General features: G+C 39.1%; 1 protein-coding gene across 2 annotated transcripts in view; it reads left to right on the top strand.

Moving 5' to 3' along the window:
* The window catches only part of PLCB1 (phospholipase C beta 1), a 752,635-nt gene that overhangs the window by 668,209 nt on the left and 57,616 nt on the right, over positions 1–26,810 (top strand). Inside the window, exon 32 of one of the 2 annotated variants that reach the window (NM_182734.3) lies at positions 1,582–1,699. The exons of the other annotated variant lie outside the window; for it this stretch is intronic. Coding sequence (NP_877398.1) covers positions 1,582–1,680 — 99 coding nt within the window. The 3' untranslated portion in view covers positions 1,681–1,699. The remainder of the gene's footprint in view (positions 1–1,581; positions 1,700–26,810) is intronic. 2 annotated transcript variants of the gene reach the window in all.

The following is a 26,810-nucleotide window of genomic DNA, read 5'->3' on the forward strand; positions in this document are numbered from 1 at the left end:
ATACAGACACACGAACAACTTTATACAATTGGAGAGAAGCTTAGCAGATTAACCATTTTGGCATCAAAATGGATTTCGCCCTATCTAATTATGCTAGTATATAAAAATTTGTGTCAAAGAGAGTAGCCAGCAGCATGTGCCTGTGTTTGGTACATAAGAGAGAATAGAAAATACATTGTTTTCTATCTTTGGCTGAGAAAGATTTGTTTCCTTTTTCTTTGCACCTTTCGTATTATCCAAAAAAGAAAAAAGCTTACTCTTAGGTTTTGCAAAATACACAGTGAGCTGTTACAATTCTTAAGTTTCTTATTGGGTCTGTGTTTTAGGTGGAACCAAAAAACCCTAGGACTTGAAAAAAATATTGTAAAGCAGTCAAGACATCTTTATAATTGTTGAGTACCAACTGCAGTGCAATCACTTTAGTCAAAGCCTCCATCATCTCTCCCCTGGATTTCTAAGTAGCCTCCAAACTGGTCTTCCTGCTGCCACATGTACACACTCAAAATCTATTCTCAACATGTCACCCAGAGGCATCCTTTTAGAACACAAGTTAAATCAGGTCACTCCTCTGTTGAAGACCCTTCAATGGCTCCCATAATCCTCTAAAAGTCCAATACAGTCTAACTCCACTTTTGCTGCATTTTTTCTTCCCTTCCTCCTTGATATACTCTCTGCTCAGGCCACACTGGGCTCATTGCTAGGCCCCAACAAGACAGGCGAATCCCACCTTGAGCCATTGTTTCCTCATCTCCCAAGTGTCTGTTTGGGCAACTCTCTCCTGTCTTTCAAATGTTTGCTCAAATCTGTCAGAGGCTTTCCATGACCACTTTATTAAAATTTACAACCCCCCTCCACCACTCTCCCATCCCTGCCATCCTCTCTCCTGTTTATTCTGCTGTGCTTTCTGTTTTTCATAGCATTTGTCACCTTCTCTCATTCAGTCATACCCTTCTTTCCTAAGTGTGTCCTTGAGTACTGCCCCACCCATCAGAATATAAGCTCCACAACGGGAAGAGGCTTTGTCTGTTTCGTTCCCTGACGCTCTTGAGTTCCAGACATCCAAGAACATCGCCTGCCATATAGCTGGTGTCCAATAAATATTTTTTGAATGCATGATGTATGTAGAGGGCTAACAACATTAACTTTGTATGTTAAAAAATAGTTCTGGCTCTTTGCGGGGAGAAAAGTAGTGCCCTTAAGCCCAGACTCCTTGGACTGTGTTGTTCACTGAACAAACAGCTGTCAATCATTCATCACTATCTTTTCTCAAGTTTCTTGATGGTAGTGGGATTTTGTGGAGAATATCTCAAAAGTAACAGCTGTGATCATTTTTAACAACTAATTTTTACAGAGAGTGGGGAGGCCGAGGAGAACTCAATGCCAATTCCATTGCATGTGTGGGAGGCCAGGTGCCTTGTCACACTGGGGGTGTTGGAGCAGATAAAGGCAAACAGAGGAGTTAAAACTGTACTCTAGAAGGCACTCCAAGAGACGTCCCAGACAAATAATTGGAAACACCAGATGACTTAGAAATCAATTTCATTGCCACAAAAATGACAGCCTCCCTTTTTTTCCACACAGGGGGAAGGTTCCTCCTCATTCTTGTCGGAAACTTGCCATGAGGATCCCTCTGTTTCCCCCAACTTTACTCCCCCCAACCCTCAAGCTCTCAAGTGGTGACCACCGTCCTTCCGGCCAGGTAGGACTGGATGGGAGGGGTCGCTTTTGAGAGAAGGGTGGTGTGTAGCCATCCAGTTTTCAGGCATCACGGACTTGCTCGTTTGTCCTTCATCCTCCCTTTCTCTACATTCCCATCTTTTTTTTCTGCTAAAGTTCCCAGCCACACCCATGATCATTTCCTCATCCTTTCTGCCTTCCTCTGGTATTAATTTCTCCATCATTGTGCTCTCTCTTCCTGACATAAATCTCATTCTTCCATATTGTCTTCTTCCTCTTTCTCCATTTTGTTTCTCTATTGGCAAATTTGGCTTCCTTTTTAATCTGGATTTTCTCTCTTGCACTCAGACTATTATTCCCACTTTGGAAACATTTTTTTTTCCATTTCTGCTTCTCACTACACTGTTTTCCCGTGGTCCTATTATCTTACAATCCAGTGGGATCAAGTTAACTCTCAAGGAGTCTGTTTCAATCCACTCCCCTCAACTTACCACAGCCCTCCTTTTGGAAGTCCAGCAAAATTTACTTTATTCCCACATGGTATTTAGAGTGAATGGGGACAGCTTGTGATTTCCTGATTCTCTAGAAGCAAGAGCTCTTGGAAATATCTCACTAATAGGGATGCTTGGGCCAGGAGCTCTTTGTCAGAGCAAACTTCAGCTTGAAAATCAGAGCAGACTTTAACTTACCCAAGGAGATGCATCACGAAAACTATTATATTCCCTTCACTAATAAGAAAACTAGCATAAGCCATTCCAAAGAGTGTGCAATTCTTAGAAAAAAGAAGCATTCTTGTGATTATAAATAAAGCAAACTTTATTCTAATGTAATGAAAATAAAATTCTACAGTGAGACTTGTACTGTTTTTGTCTTCAAGTATTTGTTCATCTGTGAAATAATGCAGTTTAAAAACATGTCAAAGAATTACTGAAAATAACTCTTTACTGAGAAAGAGGTATGAGTTATTCCTCTTCCTCGACATCAGTTGTTGCTCTGGCTCAGAGCTTTTCAGACCTTTGTGGGTATCTGAATTACTTGGACATCCTGTTAAACTGCAGACACTTATCTAGGATGTCTGAGTGGGGCCGGAAAGTCTGCCTTTCTAAGTAGCTCCCAGGGGATGTTGATGCTGCCACAGTTCCAGGGAGCACATTTTAACTGGCCAGGATGTAGTACATTCCTACCTCCAGGCTTAAGCACCTGGAAGAAGCTTGAAGCAACTGTCATGGCATTTTAATGTATTTTAACTTTTTGACCCAATCACAAGCCTGGGCCTTTGATTTTTTTTTTTTTTTTTCTACTGCCTGTAACACTAGAAAGAGGGACACAGGGAATGCCATGTCAGAACAAAGTCACAACATGGCTATGAATTCTGTTCATGTCCTCTCAACAGTGATCATTTTGTTTCTGTATTACCTTGTAATGAAGGCCATATTGGAAGGTGAGTAGAGGACCGACATATAATATCAATTTCTGGCTTCTACAAGAAGGCATCAGGGAGACCTTGACAATTTCTTCTTCGTTTGGATATAAATGTTAAGACTATCTTTTAAATCATCAGTGATGAGCACCATTCGATTTTTTTGTTGTTGTTACTCTTGTTACTGCCCTGGTAGTTTTGTGTTTTTTGTTTGTTTGTTTGTTTGTTTGTTTGTTTTTGAGACATTGTTTCGCTCTTGTTGCCCAGGCTGGAGTGGAATGGCGCAATCTCAGCTCACCACAACCTCCACCTCCCGGGTTCAAGTGATTCTCCTGCCTCAGCCTCCCGAGTAGCTGGGATTACAGGCTCCCTCCACTACGCCCAGCTAATTTTGTATTTTTAGTAGAAATGGGATTTCTCCATATTGGTCAGGCTGGCCTCTAACTCCCGACCTCAGGTGATCCGCCTGCCTCAGGCTCCCAAAGTGCTGGGATTACACGTGTGAGCCACGGTGCCTGGCCTGCCCTGGTAGTTTTTAAAGCTATTGTGAAACATCTAATACCACAAGTAGAATATCTTATTTTCTCAGGGGATGCAAATGACAGTGGGTGGAGGAGCTAAGAACACATGACTTAGGTTTTATTTTTCAAAACAAATGCAATAGAGACAAAAATGCTGCATTTTTGTTGCTGTGCTCTTTCAGGCTTGTAATAGCGTGTTCACAACTTGTATTCCCTTTAGAATGTCAACTGAGATACCCACTGGGGAAAAATATTTATTTTAAGAAAGAGACAAATATCCCCACAATACCTAGACTTCAAACATTTAATCATATTGTTAGTTTGTTTGGTCCCTTTAGCTTTCCACTATAAAAGATGACATAAAAATAAATATTTCACACTTTTCATGTCAAAATAGGTCTCGTGGCTAAAGCAGAAAAAGAAAATCCCATTATAGCATTTTATATTTGAAAAAAGAACAAAACGTTCTTTTATAATAGTGTATGGAAAAAAGATTTTTGTACTAATTTTAATATTTCCCCAAATGTTTTTTGCATTCTTGTTCTTTCCTTAAACATCTTCATTCATACACTACAGCTGAAAACAAAATGATGAATAAAAAGTAATAGTACATAAGGCCGGGCATGGTGGCTCATGCCTGTAATCTCAGCACTTTGGGAGGCCGAGGTGGATGGATCACCTGAGGTCAGAAGTTCGAGACCAGCCTGACCAAAATGGTGAAACCCCATCTCTACTAAAAATACAAAAAATTAGCCGGGCGTGGTGGCAGGTGTCTGTAATCCCAGCTACTCAGGAGGCTGAGGCTGAGATGAGATAGGAGAATCCCTTGAACCCGGAAGGTGATGTTGCAGTGAGCCAAGGTTGCACCATTGCACTCCAGCCTGGGCAACAAGAGCAAAACTCCATCTCAAAAAAAAAAAAAAAAAAAAAAAGGAATAGCACATAAAGGTATAAAGCTGTCATGTGTTTGCCAAAGGATAATGTTTTCTATTATGATAGAAGATTGGCCCCAAGAGTAGTCATCACATAAATAGTTGGAATTTTACATTTTTTAATTTGTGAGTGCAAATCTTCATTGGTGAAAAAATATATTCCTTGTTATCAGCTAGACCTTAATAGGTGAAGCTAAGTAGGTGAGTTATACTTTTAACTGTGGTAACCCATTTTTTAAATAGCTACAAATCACTGTAGAGCGAGATATAAAATAAACAAAAAAGATGTTTGCTCATTTTATGTATACATAAGTCTTTAGATAAAGAGCTGTAGAATGACCAATTTCTAAAAACACCAATGAAACATTAGAAAATTATAAATATATGCCAAGTAATTATTAATGCCTGCTTTATTCTAGGATATGCCAATTTCAATAGAAAACACAAAAGAACAGAAAACATAGTTCCTACATGCTTTGAAATAATAAAGGTCAGTTTAAGGCCGTAGAAAGGCATCAAAATATTTTTCTGACACATAATACTAAAAACAAAAATTAGCATTTATGGAGCACTTACTGCATCATCAAACACCTTTAAAGCACATAACATGTGTTATCTTCTTATTCTTACCACTGTACATTTGGAGAAACTAAGGTTCAAAAAGGTTAATGAACTTTACTAAGGTCAGACAAGAAGTACCAGACCTTGGACACACCATGTGTCCTTCAGCTTTCTAAGTATATGTCTGAAGCTAAGATTTTATGATCTAGATGTCAAAGTAGGTGACTTCTCTTTCTTATGTTGACATGGATAAACAAGCAATAAGGGTACAACACCTGTGCCTCAATATACTTATCTGTAAAATGGAAAGACGACGAGCCTCTTTGTTAAAGAAGCATATCTCTTTGAGTGGCTAGAAGGGATACACACCACACATGTATACCAAACACTGTTTCATTTGCTGGTGGCATAGCCCAGCCTCCACAAGATCGTGGCTAAATTGTGCCAGAGATTTCACCCCCAAACTGATCACAACAGCACAAGGCATTAAACATCACAGGCAGCACGTTCACATTGCTCAAAGTCACTTGTTTTTAGCAAACTTCTGGGAGAAGAACATCTCTGAGGACTAGATTTTAGAAAACCTCCAGCTCTGTGAAAACAGGACTCACCTCTAGGAAACCACAATTAGTCACAGTTTCTGTCACTGAGAGGTGGGCAGCTGTTTTCCGTGTTCATCGCATCTGCTGGGGAAGCAATGCCAAGCAGAAGGAAAGGGAGACACCTGAGGCACAGTGTGGCCTGCACAGTTGGGTTAAGATAATTTTGAGTCAACCTTCCCTGTCTATGGCTGCTGAAAACTCATAGTTCCCCTCTCTAAAGCAGCAGGATTGAGGAAGGGCTCACCCACTCTCACCTCCTTCCAACTTTGGCTTTCCTCCTTCCTCTCATCTCCTCTACTTGCAAGCCATTCGGCTTATACATGTCAATGCTGTTTCAACAACAGACTCAGTGGGTTTGCTTCCCCTGAGGTCTTCTTTCTCTCTCTCCTCTTCCCATTCCTCCTCTTAAGTCTGTCTCTTGCCCCAGCCTTAGAACAGAATCCTTGTTAACTAACCCTTCTTCTGTACTATACAAGAGAGGAGTTAGAGTACACGTTGGGCTTTGCAACGGGTCTGCTTTCATTTGTTAAGCAATTGTTTTTTATTTGGATTTCATTTATTCATTTAAATATTTATGAAGCCCTACTACTTACCCTCAGGATGCTAGGCATTCTAAAGGAATATCTTGCTAGAGAAACGTCTCCGTTTAGATTGTACCTTAAGTTTCAGTCACAGCACAGAAAAGGGCTTCTTTGGAACCTGTGACAGGTGACCGTCTTCTCCTTTTCCTCTGCAGTTAGATTCAGGGCGACTGCTTTGGGCTAAATTATGAAAGACTTAAGCAGGAGTAAAGAGATTTTTCTGAAAGTAAAAATATCTAAATACCTAAATAGATTCCCGAGGGCTGTTGTGTGTCTCTTTGAAGATCTTTAAATGCGGAGACAAAGAAGGCGTCTACCAGCAGAGGGTTGCGTATGTCTGAGTGACCTTTTTATGATCTCTTTTGAGTCCGTGAAGGATGCGATTAATTAAAGTCGGAAGTTTGTCACTGAAATAATAGTTATGAGATCCAGAGAATTCAAGGTGTTGGAGGACTCATTAAGTAGTTGCATAAATATCATGCTGAAAGATTTAATGAGACCACAGGGTCACTTATAGAACGATGGTGCAGAGATGACCTAGAAAAAAATAAATTAGAATCGATATTGTGCTTCTGAATTAACAGCTATAGATTGCTATATTAACACCTGAGACATAAATTCTATAATTATATCTTAATGATGAATATTGATGTTCTTGTCACGGAAAAAATGAAAATTGCTCACATTTAGTATTTTACTTATCAATAGTAAAATAAATGTATATATGCGTGCTTATTTCTGTGACATCTGGGAACCGTGAATGCTTTAAGTAGCTACAATTAAATGAATAGTGTTTTTTTTTTTTCCTTTTAATTCAACCAATAGTTATTAAATGCCTACTACACAGCAGGCACTGGGCTAGGTGCTGGGAAAAAACACAGATGCACCCTTTTCCCCCCTTCAAGTTGATTATAGTATAGTGCTATCCAATAGAATTTTCTGCAGTGATGGAAATTTTCCATGTCTCAGTGTCCAGGGCAGTAGCAACTAGCCACAAGTAGTTATTAACCATTTGAAATGTGGCTGATGCAACTAAGGAGTTGAATTTTTTATTTTATTTTAACTGTTTATATTTAAATATAAATATAAACAGCCACATGCTTAATCTTAGTTTCTAATGTGTAATCCACCGTTGTGTCAAAAAGGATTGCACTGGGACAAAAGACTATGTTCATCATTATAAAAGAGCTGTTTACATGGGAGGAAAGGCTGACACATAATTGAGGAAACCAAGGAAGGCTTCACAGAGGTGGCAGTCACTGAGCTGAGACCTAGAGGAGCAGATAAGAAGGACTTCCTCATGACAATATGAAAAAGCCTGAGATGCGAGTATCATGTTACTTGCATCTTGTGGAACTGTATGTAATTTCATCATTTGCATGTTGTGTTACTCTGCTCAGCTTCCACAGCAAAATGTCACAGACTGGGTGGCTTCAGCAACAGAAATTTATTTTTTCACAATTCTGGAGTCTGGAAGTCTAAGATCAAGGTGCCCGCGAGATTCGTTTCTGGGGAGGCTTCTCCTCTGGGTTTGCAGACAGTGGCTTTTTGCCATGTCCTCAGATGGCCTTTCTATGCACATGCACAGAGAGAGAGAGAGCGCATGCACACGCTGGCACTTCTTCCTTTTCTTATAAGGACACCAGCCCCATCAGATCAGGGACCTACTCATAGGAGCTCATTTAACCTTAATTACTTCATTAAAGATCCTGTCTCCAAATATAATCACATTGAGGGTTAGGGCTTTGATATATGAATTTGGGGTAGACACAATTCAGTCCATAAAGGAAGTATATCTCTCACACATAGCTCACACAAATTCTGTAGAAAACTATCATCTATTTACCTAGCATCTGGTGATTTTAATCACTGCTTTTGACTTGCATAGTGATAGATAACATAGGGTTCTAGAATAGTAACAGGTATAAAAAATACCTAAACCAAAGTATCCACCTCACAGAACTCGAATGTAATTAAATATTGCTTAAGCAAATATTAATTTTCCTTTATTCTTTGAAGACAAACCAGTGGTGAGCTGGAGCTTACTATCTAAGCTCATAAGAGTCCATTTTAAAATTTTTCAGGGATTTTGTGACCTGGTTATTCAACACAACCATTACTACAAATTAAATTATATAAACTTTCAATGAAATAAATTTATTCAAAACAAATGTAACAAATACTCATAACTCATCATTTACCAATTTTTTCCTAGAGCTTTGTTGAAGCACTTTTTAAATTTTTTTTAAGACAGGGTCTCACTGTGTTTCCTGGCTGGAATGCAGTGAAGCGATCATGGCTCACTGCAGCCTCAATTTCCCGAGGTCAGTTCAATGGATCCTCCCACATCAGCTTCCCACGTAGCTGAGAATACAGGCTTACCACCACACTTGGCTGATTTTTTTTTATTTTTAGTTTTGTAGAGGTGGAGTTTTGCCATGTTGCCCAGGCTGATCTTAAACTCCTGAGCTCAAAGCGATCGTCCCGCCTCAGCCTCCCAAAGTGCTCGGATTACAGGCATGAGCCACCATGCCCGGCTCACTTACAAATAATTTAATACCTCTCACTATTGCCGGTGCTCTCACTATTGCTGGTGCTCTCTAGGTACTTTGCATCTTTACATCTACTACGCACCATCGGTAGTGGTGGCTCTGACAGTCTGCTACTGTACACCTCCTCCCAACGCCTTATTCAAGGTCACGACTTTGTTACTTTGAGACTGGCTCTGGGCAAGTATTTACACCATTGAAAATCAACAATCTCTAAAACTGGGCCCTTTCATTTTCCAGGAGAGCCGTATATTAATCATTTACCGGCATACCACTGGCACAAACCTTACCCTCTTTCATGGTACAGGGTTTTCCCAGTATTTATCTGGAGTTCCTGTTGCAGCTTTCCATGGTTGAAACATTATTACCCATCCTTTAAAAACAAAATGAAACTTTTTACTGAAATAAATTACCTTCTTTAAAGCTTTTTTTTCTGTTTCCTCCATTAGACAGAGCCTGTACTGCTCTGTTGATCTATGAACTTTCAGGCCCTCAGTATAAAATGTTTTAAGGACAACAGAAAAGTCCCCTAAAACTTACACCTAGCATTGACAACATTTTTCTAGCCCCCTCAGCAATGTCTTCTACCTAAAATTGCCTCAGCTGTAACGTAACATACCTCCTGCTGCTAGTACTAGCTCACAGCTAATACTAAGCGTAACACCTGACTCCATTTTACAGGGGCCACTTTTTTTCCTCTAAAAGTTTTATGTAGCAGTAAGTGAAATAGAATAGATGCTGGGGTAAACAGCAGTTTCCAGATTAAATGTTATTTTCTGTAGGAAACATTTCTCTCCAATGTTGCCCCTTCACACCATCCCCAAACAAGTAAAAAGTTGCTCAGACTTTGAAAATGTAATACCATCTGGCAGAACTCACATTCGACCTTTTATTAAAACTACAATTATGTCACACCTGTGAGGTTTAAAATTCAAGGCTCCGGAAGTTAAAGCGACGTGTCCAAGGTTACATGGAAAATTCTTGAGAGCTCACAGTTTCCTGCCCTGGCCTTTCACTTCGGATGTACACCATAGTACGTGTGTTTTCTGATTAGAGCTCTCTTCAGTTATGATTTATTTTACCATCATAACATTTTGGGAGGCTGGTATGAGGGAGAGTATAGAAGAAGGAATTCAAGCAGAAAAGGTTAAATGATTTACAGTTTTCGCCCTTTCTCCAAGGGAAATTTATGTGCCCCCAAATTTTAGAATCATGAATTTAGATTGAATGAGAATGGATAAAATCCATTTACAGTCAATTTAGATTGCATAAGAATGGATGAAATCCTTGGCATATCTAAAGAATGGAAAAGGGATCCCAGGAGGTAGTTCTGGATAACTTTTAACTTGAAAACGTCTGGTAGAGGCCGGGCATGGTGGCTCATGCTTATAATCCCAGCACTTTGGGAGGGCGAGTCAGGCAGATGACTTGAGCCCAAGAGTTTGAGACCAGCCTGGGCAACATGGCAAAACCCTATCTCTACAAAAAATACAAAAATTAGCTAGCTGTGGTGGTGCATGCTTGTAGTCCCAGCTACTTGGGGGGCTGAGAGATGGGAGGATTGCTTGAACCTGCGAGGTCAAGGCCGCAGTGAGCCAAGATCGCACTACTGCACTCTGGCCTCTGGCCTGGACAACAGATTGAGACCCTGTCTCAAAAATAAATAAATAAATAGTCTGGAAGGATAGAAAAAGCAAGTGAGAAACAAAAAAGGGACCACCTATGAGGTAGGAGGAAAACCAAGAGTGTCAAACAAACCCAGAGGAAAAGCAGTGCATGAGTATGAAGGGCATGATCCCCAGTGTCTAAAGTTGGTGAATGCTACAGGAGAGTCTTCTTTGGTTTTAGTATCCAGGAGGTCATTATTGGCCTTGATCTTAATGAGGAATCAGCCAAAAGGTGGGGAAGGGAACCAGGTAAGAGTGGATTAAACAGGAGACCAGGAACAGGAGACAGCTTATCTAACACTCATTTGGAGGTTTAGACTCGAAGGGAAGCAGGGATCTGGTCTAGTAATGGAGGAAATAGGAGGGAAAATCCATTTGAGAAGAGATTAATGAATCCTTCTAATTCATGGTTCGGTCTAGTTTATCATGAAACACTAAATCAAATGAAAGAGTTGCTTCTATAGCCCTGTGCACTTCCATCAGCAGATTTTATATTGAGTTGTGCAGATCAACCCCATTGCCAAGGAAGAACAAGAAAAAGATATTTCACCTACATTAATGGTTGGCAGAGTGGTTTTTCCCTCTGATAAATTAATATTCAATGGAGGAACAATATGTTAATGAGTATACAGCATATATTATTCAGAACAATAACAATAAAGGATTTCTGTAGACCTTGTTTAAATGTTAGGTTTTCTTTTGCTGTTGAGTACATGAACAGCAATACTTACACAACTTACATCATGATCGTCAGAGCCGATACAGAAAGCCACAGGCCTGCCTGGCTGCTACACTGAGGTGTCTACAGACCAAGAGGCTTCACATGTGCCTTTCTGTAATTAGTATTTACTCAGCCTCCTATAGCAGGGAAAATATTTTGCACATAATAAACTCATATATTTCCTTACCCATTAAGGGGTAATGTACTTAAGCACATTTTCCTGTAGGATTTTTACCAGCAAGGTCGAGTCATAGCTCCAGGAGAGGAAAGAATGGGACTCACTAGAAGAGAAGATCCTCATTAGCAAGTGAAAAATTTTGTAAAACAGGGATTACAAGAGAGGAAGGTATTTTTTTTTCAAATTTTTCAAATTCCTTTAACTTCTTCTAACATGGAAGTCAGATCTGGGGGGCTAGAGCCTTGCTTGCTATATACCCAAAGATGACAGAACTCAGGATAAGACATAGAAAAAGAGAAAAGCCTGCCCCCTTCTTCCTCAGGCCTTGGAATCGTTGGAAGAAGAAGGGGAGAGAGAGAATAGAGCAGGAAATGAGACTTTGTATGTACCTCTCTGACTTCTACCCTCCAGGCGAAAATCCGGAAGATTCTGGAGCAGGCTCATGACACCTCATATCTTGTGTGTCTTAGAAGGGACACGAAAGCTCTTGCATGTCCTGGTGATGGGAAATGGTGGTGTGAGCGGGGGCTGGTGTGAGCGGGGGCTGGTGTGAGCGGGGGCTGGTGAAAGCTGGGACAAGACAAAGAGGCTCCCTCTGGTGTTGACTTCATAACTGAAGTCCGCTGGACTCAAGTAATGAGTGGACTTGGCCAGACTCTACCGGGGCATCTCGCCCCAAATGGCCAGCAGTCTTGTGTCCATGGAGAAATCTAGACCAACCATTTCACAGCACAGACCTATGAGGATGCAGAGAGCAGCCTGGCAGGTCTAAGTCTGTGCCTTTCTCCCCCTTGGAAGACACACTGATTTCCTGAATAGATTTACCCACCATTTGGGAGAGCTGAAAATGGGAAGGACAACTTTACAAGCTTCAACTTTACCCAAAGAGACTGACTCATGCAAAAAAACGTGTAAAACCAATCCTATGGGGAGTGAAATGTTGAAGAAACCATAAGGAAATTGTCTATTTCCTTTAACAGTTAGAAGGACTAGGGCAGCTTCCCTTCCTGTCATGGGAAGTGTGGCTCCTACGCCCTCTGGGAGAGTGGTTTGAGAAGTGTTTCCGCTGTGACTTAAATTATAGCCATTTCCCGAGCAGGCAGCCCAGGGACTGTGGTAGGCAGTGCCAGCTACTCGGAGTCAATTGAAAGGGAATTGGTCGCCTGGGAGGTTTCTAACCTGATTTCAGGTTTCCTGGACACCGCGTCCTCTCCTGACCCAACACCTGCTGTGACAGATAGATGTTTGTAATGAGGTGAATAACAAACAGTCTCATGAACATTAGGTCACATGGAACAAAAGGCACACTGGCTTAGGTGGAGCCTGCATTTTCCTGTTTTTCTAATACATTTCTCTACCAAGTCTACTCACTCGCGGAAAGCTTTGGCAAGATTTTTAGGCAAAGCCTTTAAACTCACATTTTTTTGAAGAAAAAAATGTTTGCTATTTCATGGCTGAAAGAGAGACTCAATTCTGCTGTTACATTCAGAAATCTGTTTTTTTGTTTTTAAATGTCTGTTTCATACTTAAAATCTCAGAATATCTTACTGAGACCAGCTCTAAAGTAAACTATTTCACCACACTCAAAGAAGACCCAACCATCATAATAAAAGGGGCAGAAAGAAACATTGGGAGGTGATGGATTTGTTGTAAAAATGAATGAGGGCCAGGCACGGTGGCTCACACCTATAATCCCAGCACTTTGGGAGCCTGAAGTGGGAGGATCACTTGAGCCAAGGAAATCGAAATCAGCCTGGGCAAGATAGTGAGACCCTATCTCTAAAAAAATTTTAAAAAATTAGCTGGGCATGGTAACACATGCCTGTAGTCCCAGCTACTGAGGAGGCTGAGGCGGGAGGATCACTTGAGCCCAGGAATTGCAGGCTGCAGTGAATTATGATCACACCACTGCACAGCCAGGGCAACAGAGCAAGATTCTGTTTTAAATAAATAAATAAATATTAATGAATAAAATCAAATATTCCTAATAGACAAACTGGCTTTTGACTTTTCTGGTGGTATTTCAATTGATTTTTCCTGTAGCGGAATTCATAGGTGAATGCCTGCCACAGCAAGGGTCCAGTGTGAATGAAGCTTTCTATGTGATTTGTAGGTTTTTCCTCTGCCCTGATGTGACTACCAGAAGTGGGGTTCAGCTGGGAGTTTTAGAAATGACTTTTTCTTTTTATTTAAATTTTGTGCCTAATTATATTCTTAGATGTATTGGTCAGAGCTTTATCATGATCATTCGTATATCTACAGTCCCTCAGTATTTAAGTCTTATTAGCAAAAGTAAATGTGAAAAAGGTATTGTGTGAGATTTTACAACAGCCCAAGATGAAGAGTATAGATGTGTGTGGTGTTTGTCGATGGCATTATGCTTCTATCCTTGTTCTGACAGGATTCTGGCCTTTTGGAACATTCTGTCTAAGGATTGAAGCTAATTTAGTTGAGAAACCTAAATATTACATTTCGAGAATGAATTTAACACCTAGATTTCCAATCTTGAAATTACAATAGTCACTCACTTATCAAAGAGTAGAGTAGAAAATAGTTCTTTCCTTTTAACATCTTTTCTCTCTTAAAATTGGAGGACAGGGATTTATAAGTAGTGTTCCATCTATCCATCCATCCATTTATCCATCCATCCATCCATTCTTTCATCCACCTATCCACCTATGGTATGTACTTGCATGTGTGTGTGTGTGTGTGTGTGTGTGTGTGTGTAAACATATTTAAAAGGCAGGTTTACTCATTGCTTTTGGTACAGTTCTCTAAACTAAAGAAGCTTATGTTGGTACTTTTATTGTCCATGAAATTATATTATGAAACAATAACAGGTAGGAAGGATGGGTTCCCATAAATATCCTCTTACTCTCTTTGCATTTTGTATCATGTGCACTACTAATCTCTTACATTTGTTAATCCATTGCTATGGTTTTGACATAAGTTGGACTGACACCTTCATTTAGCAGATGTAGAAAGAGGCCCAGAGAGGTCCACTTACAGGCAGGAGTAGGGCCAGGCCAGAAATCTAGTCTCCCGTCTTTTTGCTTTTCTTAGCAAACAGATTCCCCAATGAGCAGACTTGATTGTGTCTTGCTGCACAGCAATCCACACTAACCATACAGGTGTAATGTCCATTATCTAAAAACCCCAGTCCGCTTTGATTTCGGATCATGTGCTTCCCTTCTCTACTGTGCAGATGTCAGGTAAACAGGTCATCGCTGCACTGCTTCATTGTTTGTTCCAGTCTTCTTTTCTCTGGGTTCCTTCCTTTATTCATTTTCAGCTGTTATGAATTTATACACAATTAAAGGGGGAGGGAGGCATATTAATTGAAAAATTGATGACATAACCTTGAGGGCTTTGCTTTAATTACCTCCAGTGTCCAGGAATGACAGTTCTTCAGATTTATCTTCTCTTCCTTAATAGAGGATTTTCCCACTGGACAGACTTCTGGCAATATCTGGTGTTCAGACTGTAGTGCCATGCTCTGCTATTTTTATTACTCACACAAAAGTGCGTTGATGGGCCATGGGCAAGTTAAATTTATCATCTTGCAACGGTGGGATGAAAGAGCCATTGCTAACCCTGGCAAACCTAAGGTGTACAATTTCACAAAATTACATAGATGGTAAGAGGTGGTGTTGACACAATTGGAGCTGACACTTTCATTTAGCCGACGTGGAAAGAGGCCCAAGAGGTCCACTTACAGGCAGTGGTAGGGCCAGGTCAGAAGTCTAATCTTCAGCCTCCTTGCTTTGTACTCCCGACCTCAAACCCGACCACTCTCTTCTCCCAACCATAATGCATCTTAGTGAGTTACAGTACAACAAAAGATCTAGAAATATCTGACTATTAAAAAATTATCTGCTGATCATAAAACAATTGAAAACATAGAGAAGAATTTAGTTAGGGGCTAGATGTAGTGTTTAAAATTTGAAAATCAATAGTTTTCCTCTATAGCATCAATAATATCTATCTGTCTATCTAATTATGTATAATATGAAACAAAACAACAGAAACCATAAGATATATTAATAGAACACATATAACCTGTTTATAGATATTCCTAAGGAGGATTGTGGCAAAGATTCCTGGAAGTGATATTTAATGGTATCTTATAAAATGGTAGTGAAGAGAAAAGTAAAACAGTGGCAAAGAATATGAAAGATGAGATACCAGTGTATAAGAGAGCAATAAATAATTAAAAGCAAACAAATGGGAAGGAACTGATCTTTCAGAAAAAACCAGGAGATACAGCTAAGTGCCCAGAGCACAGGATCCCATCTGAGAGGGACACTGGAAAGAGAAAACCAAGGGAGGTAAATTATCAAAGAAATATTATAAGAAACATTTTCACAACTGAAGAATATTAATTACCAGACTGAAGGGCCAAACTGAGTGCCCAGCCACAAGAAAGAAATGACCCACACTTAGGCTCCAAACTGGAAAATTTTGGAATACCAAAAACAAAAAGAATTTTTTTCAACATTTCCAGAACAAAAACTACCACTCACAAATTGAAAGTCAGAATGAGATCAGGCATCTCTACAGAAAATGAAAGTTTGAAGAGTAAAGCAAAGCATTCAAAGTCCTAAAATAATTTAATGGGGAATTCTGAAGCCATACTATCAAGCCAGAGAATAGAACAAAAACATGTTCAGACATACAAAATACTGTACCATCTATATATTTTTCTAAAAGGCAAAACAAATTCTGTTCTTTCTATAAGCATATATATGAATATGAATGAACAGAGAATTTCTGGACATCTACATACCAAACTTAAACCATGGTTTACCTGGGGGAGGGGACTGGGATTAGGGAGGTGGCCAAAGGGTGCTTTGCAGCTATCCATATTGTTTGTTTGCATGTGTTTACTGAAATAATGTAATTATGTATTATCTGGGTGATTAAAAGTATTCTTCATGTTAATGCAAGATAATCCATTAGTGATAAAAGTTAGTTTTAAATGAGAGCTTGTTTGAAATTCTAAGCTTTCCTCTAACTGTTCATCTGGAACCACTTCTTTCAAGTGCCCTTTCTATTTCTAGCTTTAAAAAGAAATCCAATTCAGGCTAAAAGGAGCCATTATAGTTTCTTGATATCATCACATTTCTGTTAATGAGCCCTTCAAACTTGATTGGTTCTTAGTAGAATTACAGTGATTCTGAAGCAATCCTGAAGTCACCTGTTTCCCTCTGCCATAGAAAATGCCGCATCTGTTGCTGATATAATCTAAGATAACAAAATATCAAGAAAACAAAACAGAGAGACCTGAGCTTCCAATGAAAACTCTGTATAACTTTTTAAAATATGTTTAAATGCATCAATGAATGGGAAAAAAGTAGAGAACGCTCAGAGGACAAGGTCCAAGTGAAAGCAGGTACCAGAGAGGTGAGCAGAGCATGCAAGCTGTCCTTTATCTTGAAGGTGTCTATCAGTGTCAGCTTGGTAGAACTTGGTATTGAAACTTGGTGTAGAATAGAGGAGGAAAAAATTCTCCCTGAGAATTCATGATTGCAAGCTGGTCCTCACTGGGGGGTTTGAAGCCTGAATTCACCCCACCTGACAAACTCAGGGCCAGACTGAAGGGCCAAACTGAGTGCTCAGCAACAAGAAAGAAATGACCCACGCTTAGGCTCCAAACTGGAAAATTTCAGAATACCAAAAAACAAAGAGATTTAATTTAAATCTGTCTCATCCTGGAAATCCTCTGGGCTCCTGACATAATTAATCAGTTTGTTTAAAAAGGAACCCATCTTTAAACCAGACCTTAAACTATTACTACAGATAAAGTTCCAGGAAATTCACCACATGAAAGCAATCACAATGAATACGAAGAAAGTCCATGAGTGAGAAAGAGCAAAAATAACAGACAGCAGAATGACCCCTACAAAAACTTGAGATTTTGGAATTATGAGAAACAGAATATTAAGCAAGTACTTTTAAGGTTGACAATATGAGTAAAAAGCAACTGACTAAAAAAAGCGATGAAGCACATTTGCAAACAAACAAATTGATTCTCTATAAGTGAAAAATATATTTAAAATGCAATGCATAGTTATAGCAACAGAAAGAGAATTAGTAAATTTTTAGTGATCTATATAATTAGCAAGAATACAGCAAAGTATCAAAGACATGGAAAATATGGTAGAGAGATCAAGAGGCACGAAGGATAGAATGAGAAGAGGTGAGAGCAAATAGGTACAGGAGATTATCTGAAGAGGTTATGTTTCAGAATTAATAAAATTAATTCTGGATTAATTCATAGATTCACAAATTCATAGATTAAGAAATCTCAAGCATAGTGTATTTTAAACAATGCCACATCTAAATATAAGTATCATATTTAAGTTCCAGAAACACAAGTATCATTTAACAATGAAAGTAATAAAGAGATTTTTAGCACAGCCCAGGAAGACAAAAGATGGGGAGCAAGGATACAGTGAGGACTGAGGGTTTCCCACCAGCAAATCTTCACTAAAGGAAATCATATCTCCATATGCTAGTCAGACAAAAAGATGCCCACTATTATCCCTTTCTGTTCAATGCAGTAAGACAAGAAGAATAAATAAAAGATACAATGTTCAGATATTAAATGAAAAAATATTTGCAAATGATGTGAATAACTATTCAGAATAATCTACAGATAAGTTAATGAGTTAGCAAATATGCTGAATATAAAATTAATTTATAAAAATCCATTTCATTTCCATATATAAGCAACAGGCAGCTAGAATAACTTAAAAAATATATAACATCATAACAAGTAAAGTTATTATTGGGTATAACATCAAACAAGGTCTATTATAACATGCTTATGAATTGGAAGAGCCAATAGCATAAAAATAAGTTCTGGCCAACATGGTGAAACCCCGTCTCTACTAAAAATACAAAAATTAGCTGGGTGTGGTGGCATGTGCTTGTAATCCCAGCTACTTGGGAGGCTGAGGCAGTAGAATCGCTTGAACCCAGGAGGCGGAGGCTGCAGTGAGCCAAGATTGTGCCACTGCACTCTCCAGCCTGGGTGACAGAGGGAGACTCAGTCTCAAAAAAAAAAAAAAAAAAGTTCTCCCAAATTGATCTATAGATTAAATGCAGTACCAAAAAAAGTCAACATTTGTAGAATTTGACAAGCTGATTCCAAAATTTTTATGGTAAAGCAATGGCCCAGGAATTACCAAGATGTTTCTGAAGTGGGACAGAACATAAAGATTCATCACATATCAAAAATCATTCTGAATATGTAGTAATTAAGATATTAGTGGGATACTGGCAGCTTTAACATTGGCACAAATATGTGATCTATGAATAAGCGCACACTGATGTGAGAACTTGATTTATGAGAGAGATGGCACTGGAGACATGTGGAGAAACTCAGGCTTTTCAATAAACATTGAAAGAACTATTATTATTGATATGGAAAAAAACTAAATTGGATTCCTACCTCACCTCACACACAAAAATCCTATCTATGTGGTTTCAAGAATTAAATATGAAATATAAAACTATAAATCTTTAGAATATTATGTAGAATACCTTTGTGCATTTGGGAAAAGGAAGGTTTTTCTTTACCAATATAGAAAAAGAACAAAATTTAACAGAAAGATTGATAATTTGGGCTAAATTGAAGGTAAGATATTCTGTTCATCAAAAGACACTTTGAAGAGAGTAAAAAGACAGATAACTCCTACACTTAAAACTTAATCAAAAATTAGTGTTATACATCATCCTTTGCTAACCATGAGGGATTTGTTCTAGGACCCACCCCGCCCAGATACCAAAACCTGCAGATGCTGAGCACCTGACACAAAATGGTGTAGATAGTCTCAAATTGATTTCCAGAGGGTTTGCACCAATTTTTACTTCCACCAACAGTTTACAGTTGTCCCAGATGCACCATATCCTTGAAAATTACTTAATATCATTAGACTTAAAAATAAAAAGTAGCAAAACATGAATCCCTGGTTTAGTTGGTTAAATAATGGTCCCTCATATTCCTAAACACTTCCTCAGATATGCCAGTGTAGAGGTATAAAATAGTGTAACACTGTGGTTTATTTATATGTATTATAAATATATATTATATATAGTAAAACCTATTCATCCTCCTATATATATTAAATCCTCTCCAGATTACTTATACTACCTAAAATGCCATATAAATACTTGTTACACTGTATTGGTTATAATTTGTATTATGTTTTATTTATGTTTTTTTTTTTCAAAATTTTTTGAGTTACAATTGGGTGAATAGGTGGATACGAATTCAACCAGCAGATACAGAGAACCCATGGATACAGAGTCAACTGTATTATATAGTATTATATATACTCTATATTATAGTAATATATTATAACATAGTATTATATTATTATATATGAAATTCCTACAGATTAAGTGAAAGACAAACAGTAGAAAAATGTGGAAAAACTCAAACAGGTGCTTCTAATATGGAAAAACACAAACGATTGGCAACATATAAATAGGCTCAAGCTCATTAGTAATCAAAGAAATGCACATTGAAACCACAGTGTTATATTATTTTATGCCTTCAGACAGGCAAATTTTTTAAGTCTAACAATATCAAGTGATTTGCAAGGATATGGTGCATCTGGGACAACTGTAAACTGCAGGTGGGAGTAAAAACTGGTGCAAACACTCTGAAAAACAATTTGAGATTATCTAGTTAAGTTGAAGGTGTACAGTCCTATAACCAGAAATTCCTCATCAAGGTAGAAACTCCCTAGAGAAATTGTAGCATATGTGTATCAGGAGCGTTGTGCCAGAGTGTTCATAGCAACACTCTCTGTACTAGAAAAAGAAATGAAAAATAACCCACCTATAATAGTAGAATAAAGCAATGTTAATATATTCCTACAAAAGAATATTACACAACAACTAAATAAATATGACTTGTAGCTACACATAACAACTTGGATAAATTTCATCATCAAAATATTTAGTTAAAAAAACAAGTGGGAGGAAAATATATACAGTATGATTCAATCCAATAAGTTTAAAAGCATGCAAAATGAATCAATATTTTAGTATACAAATATGATACCAATCAATTTTTTAAAGTATGAGAACAATAAAACCAAAAAATTCAAGACTCTCATTACCTCTGAGGAGTCAGGGAAGGAGAGAGGATTTTATAAACTAGTCAGTAGGTGTTTATGCTTCAATGTTCTTTATATCTTATGACTATTTTACCCTCTTTTATATGTACTCAATATTGAAGAGATCAAAGCTATCTTGAGTAGAGGTAAAAGAAAAATTTTTTTAGTTAAAAAATATATTTAAGGCCGGGTGCGGTGGCTCATGCCTGTAAACCCAGCACTTTGGGAGGCTGAGGTGGGTGGATCACGAGGTCAGGAGTTCGAGACCAGCCTGGCCAAAATGGTGAAACCACATCTCTACTAAAAATATAAAAATTAGCCAGACATGGTGGCCTGCGTCTGTATCCCAGCTACTCAGGAGGCTGAGGCAGGAGAATTGCTTGAACCTGGGAGGCGGAGGTTGTGGCAAGCTGAGATCACGCCTCTGCACTCCAGCCTGGGCAACAGAGCAAGATTCCGTCTCAAAAAAAAAAAAAAAAAAAATATGTATATATATATATATATATATATATATATATATATATATATATATATATATATATATTTAAATGACACTTTTAAAAATGGAGGGAGGAGAGTAGTTATGATATATCAGTTTACTGTAAGAATAATTTTGACAGATGGGATATTTTCGCATGTCAGCATCATTCAAATTTTTTATTATGTTAAACTGATTAACAGTAATTACATATAAAAAGTGGACATTCAAGTCATTCAGATAAAGCCACTACCCCGCTCTGTGGGTTTGTCAGAAGGTGTCAAGTCCTACCTTCTCAGTAGGCGTCTACACAGCCTGGCGCTGTATCCCTCTCCACCCGCCCCCTCGCAGTGTGCACTATACTTCCACTGTTCCAGCTCTTTGTCTGTCCCCAGATGGAACCATGCTTCTCCTGTTTCTGCTGCTAGGCCACAATTCCTCCAGATATCTCCACACTGGTACCTTTTTCTGCAGTTCTTGGTTCAAATGTTTCTTTGCAGAGAGACTTTCTCAAATGGCAGAGTAGTTTCTATCTTTTTTCCTTTTTTTTTTCTTTTAATGTGTGGCACCATCATTCTGAAAATATCTTATTCTTGTGATTACTTGTTTATAACTTGTTTCGTCCCCACACAGGGGCCGCGTCTCTGTTATTTCTCCAAGCACCTGGCATAGAGGAGATATTCAACAACTTTATAGAATGAGTTAATATTTTGCAGACTAAATAGTTGGGCAATAGAAGGTTGCATATATATTCTTATTTTTTAAATTGGGGAAACAGTAAAGTTCAGACCCATTCACTTTAAATATTCATCCAAAAGATATTTATTAAGCATTTAGTATGTGTCAGGCACTGCGCTGCATACTAAGAATACAGAGTGAACAGGAAGGTAGCCAGGAACCCTGTGCTGGGAATGGACAGGCCTCCAGGTGCCTAAGAAGATCAGAGTAAAATCAGGAACCAAATGATCTGGAAGCTAAGTTGCCAAAATACTGTGGGTAGGATTCTGGGCATTTTTCTTCAATAATTCTATAGTGATACCTAAAGCCAGTGTGGAGATTAAAGGATGAGACTATCAGAGGTAAGGGGAGCTTTAGGACACAAAGCTAGTCATTGCACCAATGCCAGAGTTTCCACGAGAAAGAAAAACTAAAAAGCAGCAAAACACAAGTCCCTGGATTAGTTGGTTAAACAATAGTCCCTCATCTTCCTAAACGCTTCCTCAGATATGTCATTGAAAACCCCAGCTGGGAAGACCCCTCTGAGTTCCAAGACTGACTAATGAAATGATATTTCTACCTTTGATCTGTTGCAATAAAATTAAGATGTGAGTAGAAGAGAACAGAGATATCTCTATAAAGTTCCCTGTTACAGCTCAGTCAGCCCTTTGTATCCATGGGTTCCACATCCATGGACTCAACCAACTGCAGATCAGAAATATTTGGGGGAAAAAACGGTGTCTGTACTGAACGTGTATAGATTTTTGTCCTTGTCGTTATTCCCTAAATCATTGAGTTAGGTATTATCATTATTCCCTAAATTTACATTGAGTTAGGTATTATAACTAGCCTAGAGATGATTCACAGTGTATAAGTGGATGTGCAACGGGCATATGCAAATACTACACCCCTTTTTTGTTTTTTGTTTTTTGAGACAGAGTCTTGCTCTGTCACCCGGGCTGGAGTACAGTGACGCAATCTAGGCTCACTGCAGTCTTCGCCTCCTGTGTTCCAGTGATTCTCCTGCCTCAGCCTCCCTGGTAGCTGAGATTACAGGCATGCGCCACTGCGCCCAGCTAATTTTCGTGTTTTTAGTACAGATGGGGTTTCACCATGTTGGCCAGGCTAGTCTGAAACTCCTGACCTCAGGTGATCTGCCTGCCTCAGCCTCCCAAAGTGCTAGGATTACAGGCCTGAGCCATCATGCCCCGCCAGAGCCACCACCCCTGCCTGCACCACTTTAAATAAGGAACTTGTGCATCCGTGGATTTTGGCATCCAAAGAGGGTCCTGGAACCAATCCCCCATGGATGCCTAGGGACAACTGTATTATATTAGGTTGCTAATCAATTCGTGTACACTTTACCCAGTTTTATACCATATTCAACTATTGATATTTGATTTGACATACCTGTGGCCATTTTTGAACAAGGCCATTCTGAACTAATATGTCTTGATGTGAGAGCATATTCCCTAGTGGCATCTTTGTTTCTATGGAATGCTCTGATTCAATTTATATCCCTTTGATTTATATCCTGTTTCCATCAGGGAACAAGCTCTCAGCACTAACGCCTTCTACACAGGAATGCCTCTACCATCTCTTTCAGATAGTTCAGAAGGCCCTTGAAGATCTTACACATTCTAAATACCCTGGGACACTTTCCACCATATCACAAGGTCATTACAATTGTCTGCCAGTGATAATTTTGTTCCTTAGGTTCCTTAACATTTACTCCTGGTTCTCGGTGGGTTTGTCAGCATCTCACAGGGTTGGCAATGACACCCACTATACTTCTCTCTATCCCGCCTTGGGGAATCAGTTTAACATCTTATCTCCTTGCTTGTTGGAATTGACACATCCAGCATTCAGACTGTCCATGCTACATGTAGGATAACCAACAAACAAAATTGCGTTTTTTGAAACTTAAAAGCTCAATACCTTTATTTACTATTAGACTGCAGATTGTTGGGCCTGTAAGTAGGACACACATTGCCTAGAGTGGTCCGGCTCTGTCCTTTGCCATCTGGCTGCATGAATCAATGTCAGCTGGATACAAATATATCTCTGGAAAGGGGACATTGGGAAAAAGGGTGGATACACTAAGCATAGACCCCAGAACCTGTTCTCAGAAAAATATTTTCATGGTAAATCCTGAGATATTAAAGGACAGGTTTAAAATGCTGGCTGCATGCTTTCTCTGTCTTTTATTTTCATTGGATGCTAGAATTTGAATGGGCCCTGTTTCTGCTTTATTAATCCATATTTTGTGGCAGGAGAAATTCAGGAGAACTCAGGAATGGCAGGAAGTGGATGAGAAAGAGTGTGTGATAGAAACTGCAAGTAGCCTTAAGGGCAAAACAAGAATAATGCTACTGAGATGATGAGGCTTGCATATCCAGCTGGCTACTGTATTCTGGCCACCAGAATTGGATTTCAGCTTGGATTTTCGAGGCTTAGCAGTACAATGAGGACTGGGATTCATAAATTATAATTATAAGTGTTATTTATTAAAAGGTAGTTTTGGTCTCAGAAGGAACCAAATAATAATAATGCATGCATCACTGAAAGATAAAAATCCATAAAAAATAATTGGGGAATATGAGATAAGGGGAAAATTGAGAATAAGAATAAAAAGGTAACTTGGAGTAAGGGAGGAAAAATTAGTAAGCCAATCATAACACACACCCCATAACATCCTGGATATTGGTTGATGTCTGGATATTGAGTTCATGGGTCAACACTGGCCACAGAGGTGAAGCATCATTGGAGTAGCTTGGGCTTGCAAGGAAGGTTGGCATTATATCTCTTCCCATCCCCAGATGCCACCATAGACTCACCTACACTATCCCCAGGTCCTCATTGTACTCATTTTATTCATTCACACGTTTTTTGAATGTATTCAATATGCCAGTGACCAAGTTCTGGAGAAACCATACTTTGTAAAAAGTAGACATTGTCCCTGCTCCAGTGAAATTTACCCCCCCAAAAAAGGAGAGAAGGAACCAATAAACAAATGATCTCCTGAACTAATTGTCTAGCTACAAACCCAGACAAGTTATCTGAAAGAAAGGAGCATGGTGCCAGGAAAACCCAGACTGGTCTGAGCAAGGTAGGTATAGGGGATCGAAGATCAGGCAGAACATCTTGGAGCAAGTGATATTTGAACTAAGAGCCAAAGGCTGAGTAGGAATTAACTAGGTAAATGGTATAAGGTCTGGTAGAGTGAGAAAGAGTGTGTGGATGAAGAGAAACCCTTTCAGATACGGAGAATAATACACGCAAAGTCCCTGTGATAGGAGGGACCATGGTGTGTGCAAGGAACTGAAGAGTCATGGTAGATAGACCACAGAGCATCAGGAAAAGAATATACAATGGAGCCAGAAAGGTAGACAGAAATGAAACCCATAAAGCCTTGGCTGCTGCATTAACAATTTTGGCTTTTATCCTAATAAGACTTAAGGCTGGCTGAAGGTAGTGATATGATCAGATTTAGACTTTGAAAATATTTTTATTGATTAATGTGGGGAGCAAATTAAAGGGTAGAAGGGGCAAGCGGGTTGCAAAAGATTAGCTAGGGATATTATGTTAGTGCAGGCAAGAGACTCTGGCAGTGTGGAGTCGGTTTATGACAGTGGTGATGGACAGAGGTAGAAGGATGTGAGAAACAGGGCCTGGAGCCGGATTGGCTGTAGGATACAGGGAAAGGGAGGAGTCAAGGAATTGCCTAGACATGTGGTTTGTGCAACTGAGTGGATTTTGACTCCCATTCCTGGGCTAGGTGTCAAACTGCCAAACTGGGAATGAGGGGGAGGGAGCCATGACAGCAACGTTGGACATAGTATGACTGAGATGTTTTCAGGCATCTAGAGAAGTCATGTGGATGGTGAAATGTACCACTTTGGAATTGAGAAGAGAAGTCTTAGCTGGAGATAAAAGATTTGTGAGTCATACATAAAATGGAAGGAAAGTGGAGAGAATATAGCATGACAAAGAAAAGAAGGCCTCACCAGGCGCAGCAGCTCACATCTGTAATCCCAGCACTTTGGGAGGCCGAGGCGGGTGGATCACGAGGTCAGGAGATCGAGACCATCCTGGCTAACATGGTGAAACCCCGTCTCTACTAAAAATATAAAAAATTAGGTGGGCGTGGTGGCAGGCGCCTGTAGTCCCAGCTACTCGAGAGGCTGAGGCAGGAGAATGGCATGAACCCGGGAGGCAGAGCTTGCAGTGAGCAGGAGATCGCGCCACTGCACTCCAGCCTGGGCAACAGAGCGAGACTCCGTCTCAAAAAAAAAAAAAAAGAAAAGAAAAGAAGGCCTCAGATGGAGCCATGGAGAGTTTTCAAGGAGCAACTAGGCCTAGGATTATTCTAAACTCAGCACTAGGATTGTAAGGGCAAGTGTTTATTTTCTCACCATTAACTTAAACTTCTTCTCTATTGTTTTGTGTTACCCATGACAGAAAACTCTCACTCATCTCTCACTCTAGAATTTCCTCAGTTAACCCTAAATCATCTTTGCCAATGATGATAGAAGTTTCACTCTAAATGGGTTTAATCAAGATGAAAAATATAATCGCATCATTTTATAATGAATAAGACTTCACAGGTATGCTAAATGGTTGTTACCAAAGTCATTTAAATAATAGTGATTTTATGCGTCTGTGTTTCAGTGGTTGGCTTCTCTGGCCTTGACCTGTGAGCTCAGCATGAAGTGCTGAGATTTGATTTAAGATGACCTAGAGTTTATGTACTGTCATTTACTTGGAAATTATCACTTTGCGTATTTCAGATGACATCTCTTAGGTCAGTTTTGCAAGTTCATTATTTCAAGCTGTCTAAAGGAGGTATAGGATTTTGTAACAAGTAATTAAGGAAACCACCATAAAAGTTTAAGTTTATACTATATGATAGTTTTCATTATCCAATGCTGCATTTTTTGTAATAGACATTGAATAGGAGGGAACTATCCTTACTAAGTGGTAGGCATTTTTCCCCATGATTATTTGTTCACTGAATTTGGAAGTGATGGAATTCCAATGAAGAGCTATATCAGGATCATATGCACATGTGCAGT

This window comes from Homo sapiens, chromosome 20 (genome assembly GCF_000001405.40).
Source record: "Homo sapiens chromosome 20, GRCh38.p14 Primary Assembly".
Taxonomy (NCBI): domain Eukaryota; kingdom Metazoa; phylum Chordata; class Mammalia; order Primates; family Hominidae; genus Homo; species Homo sapiens.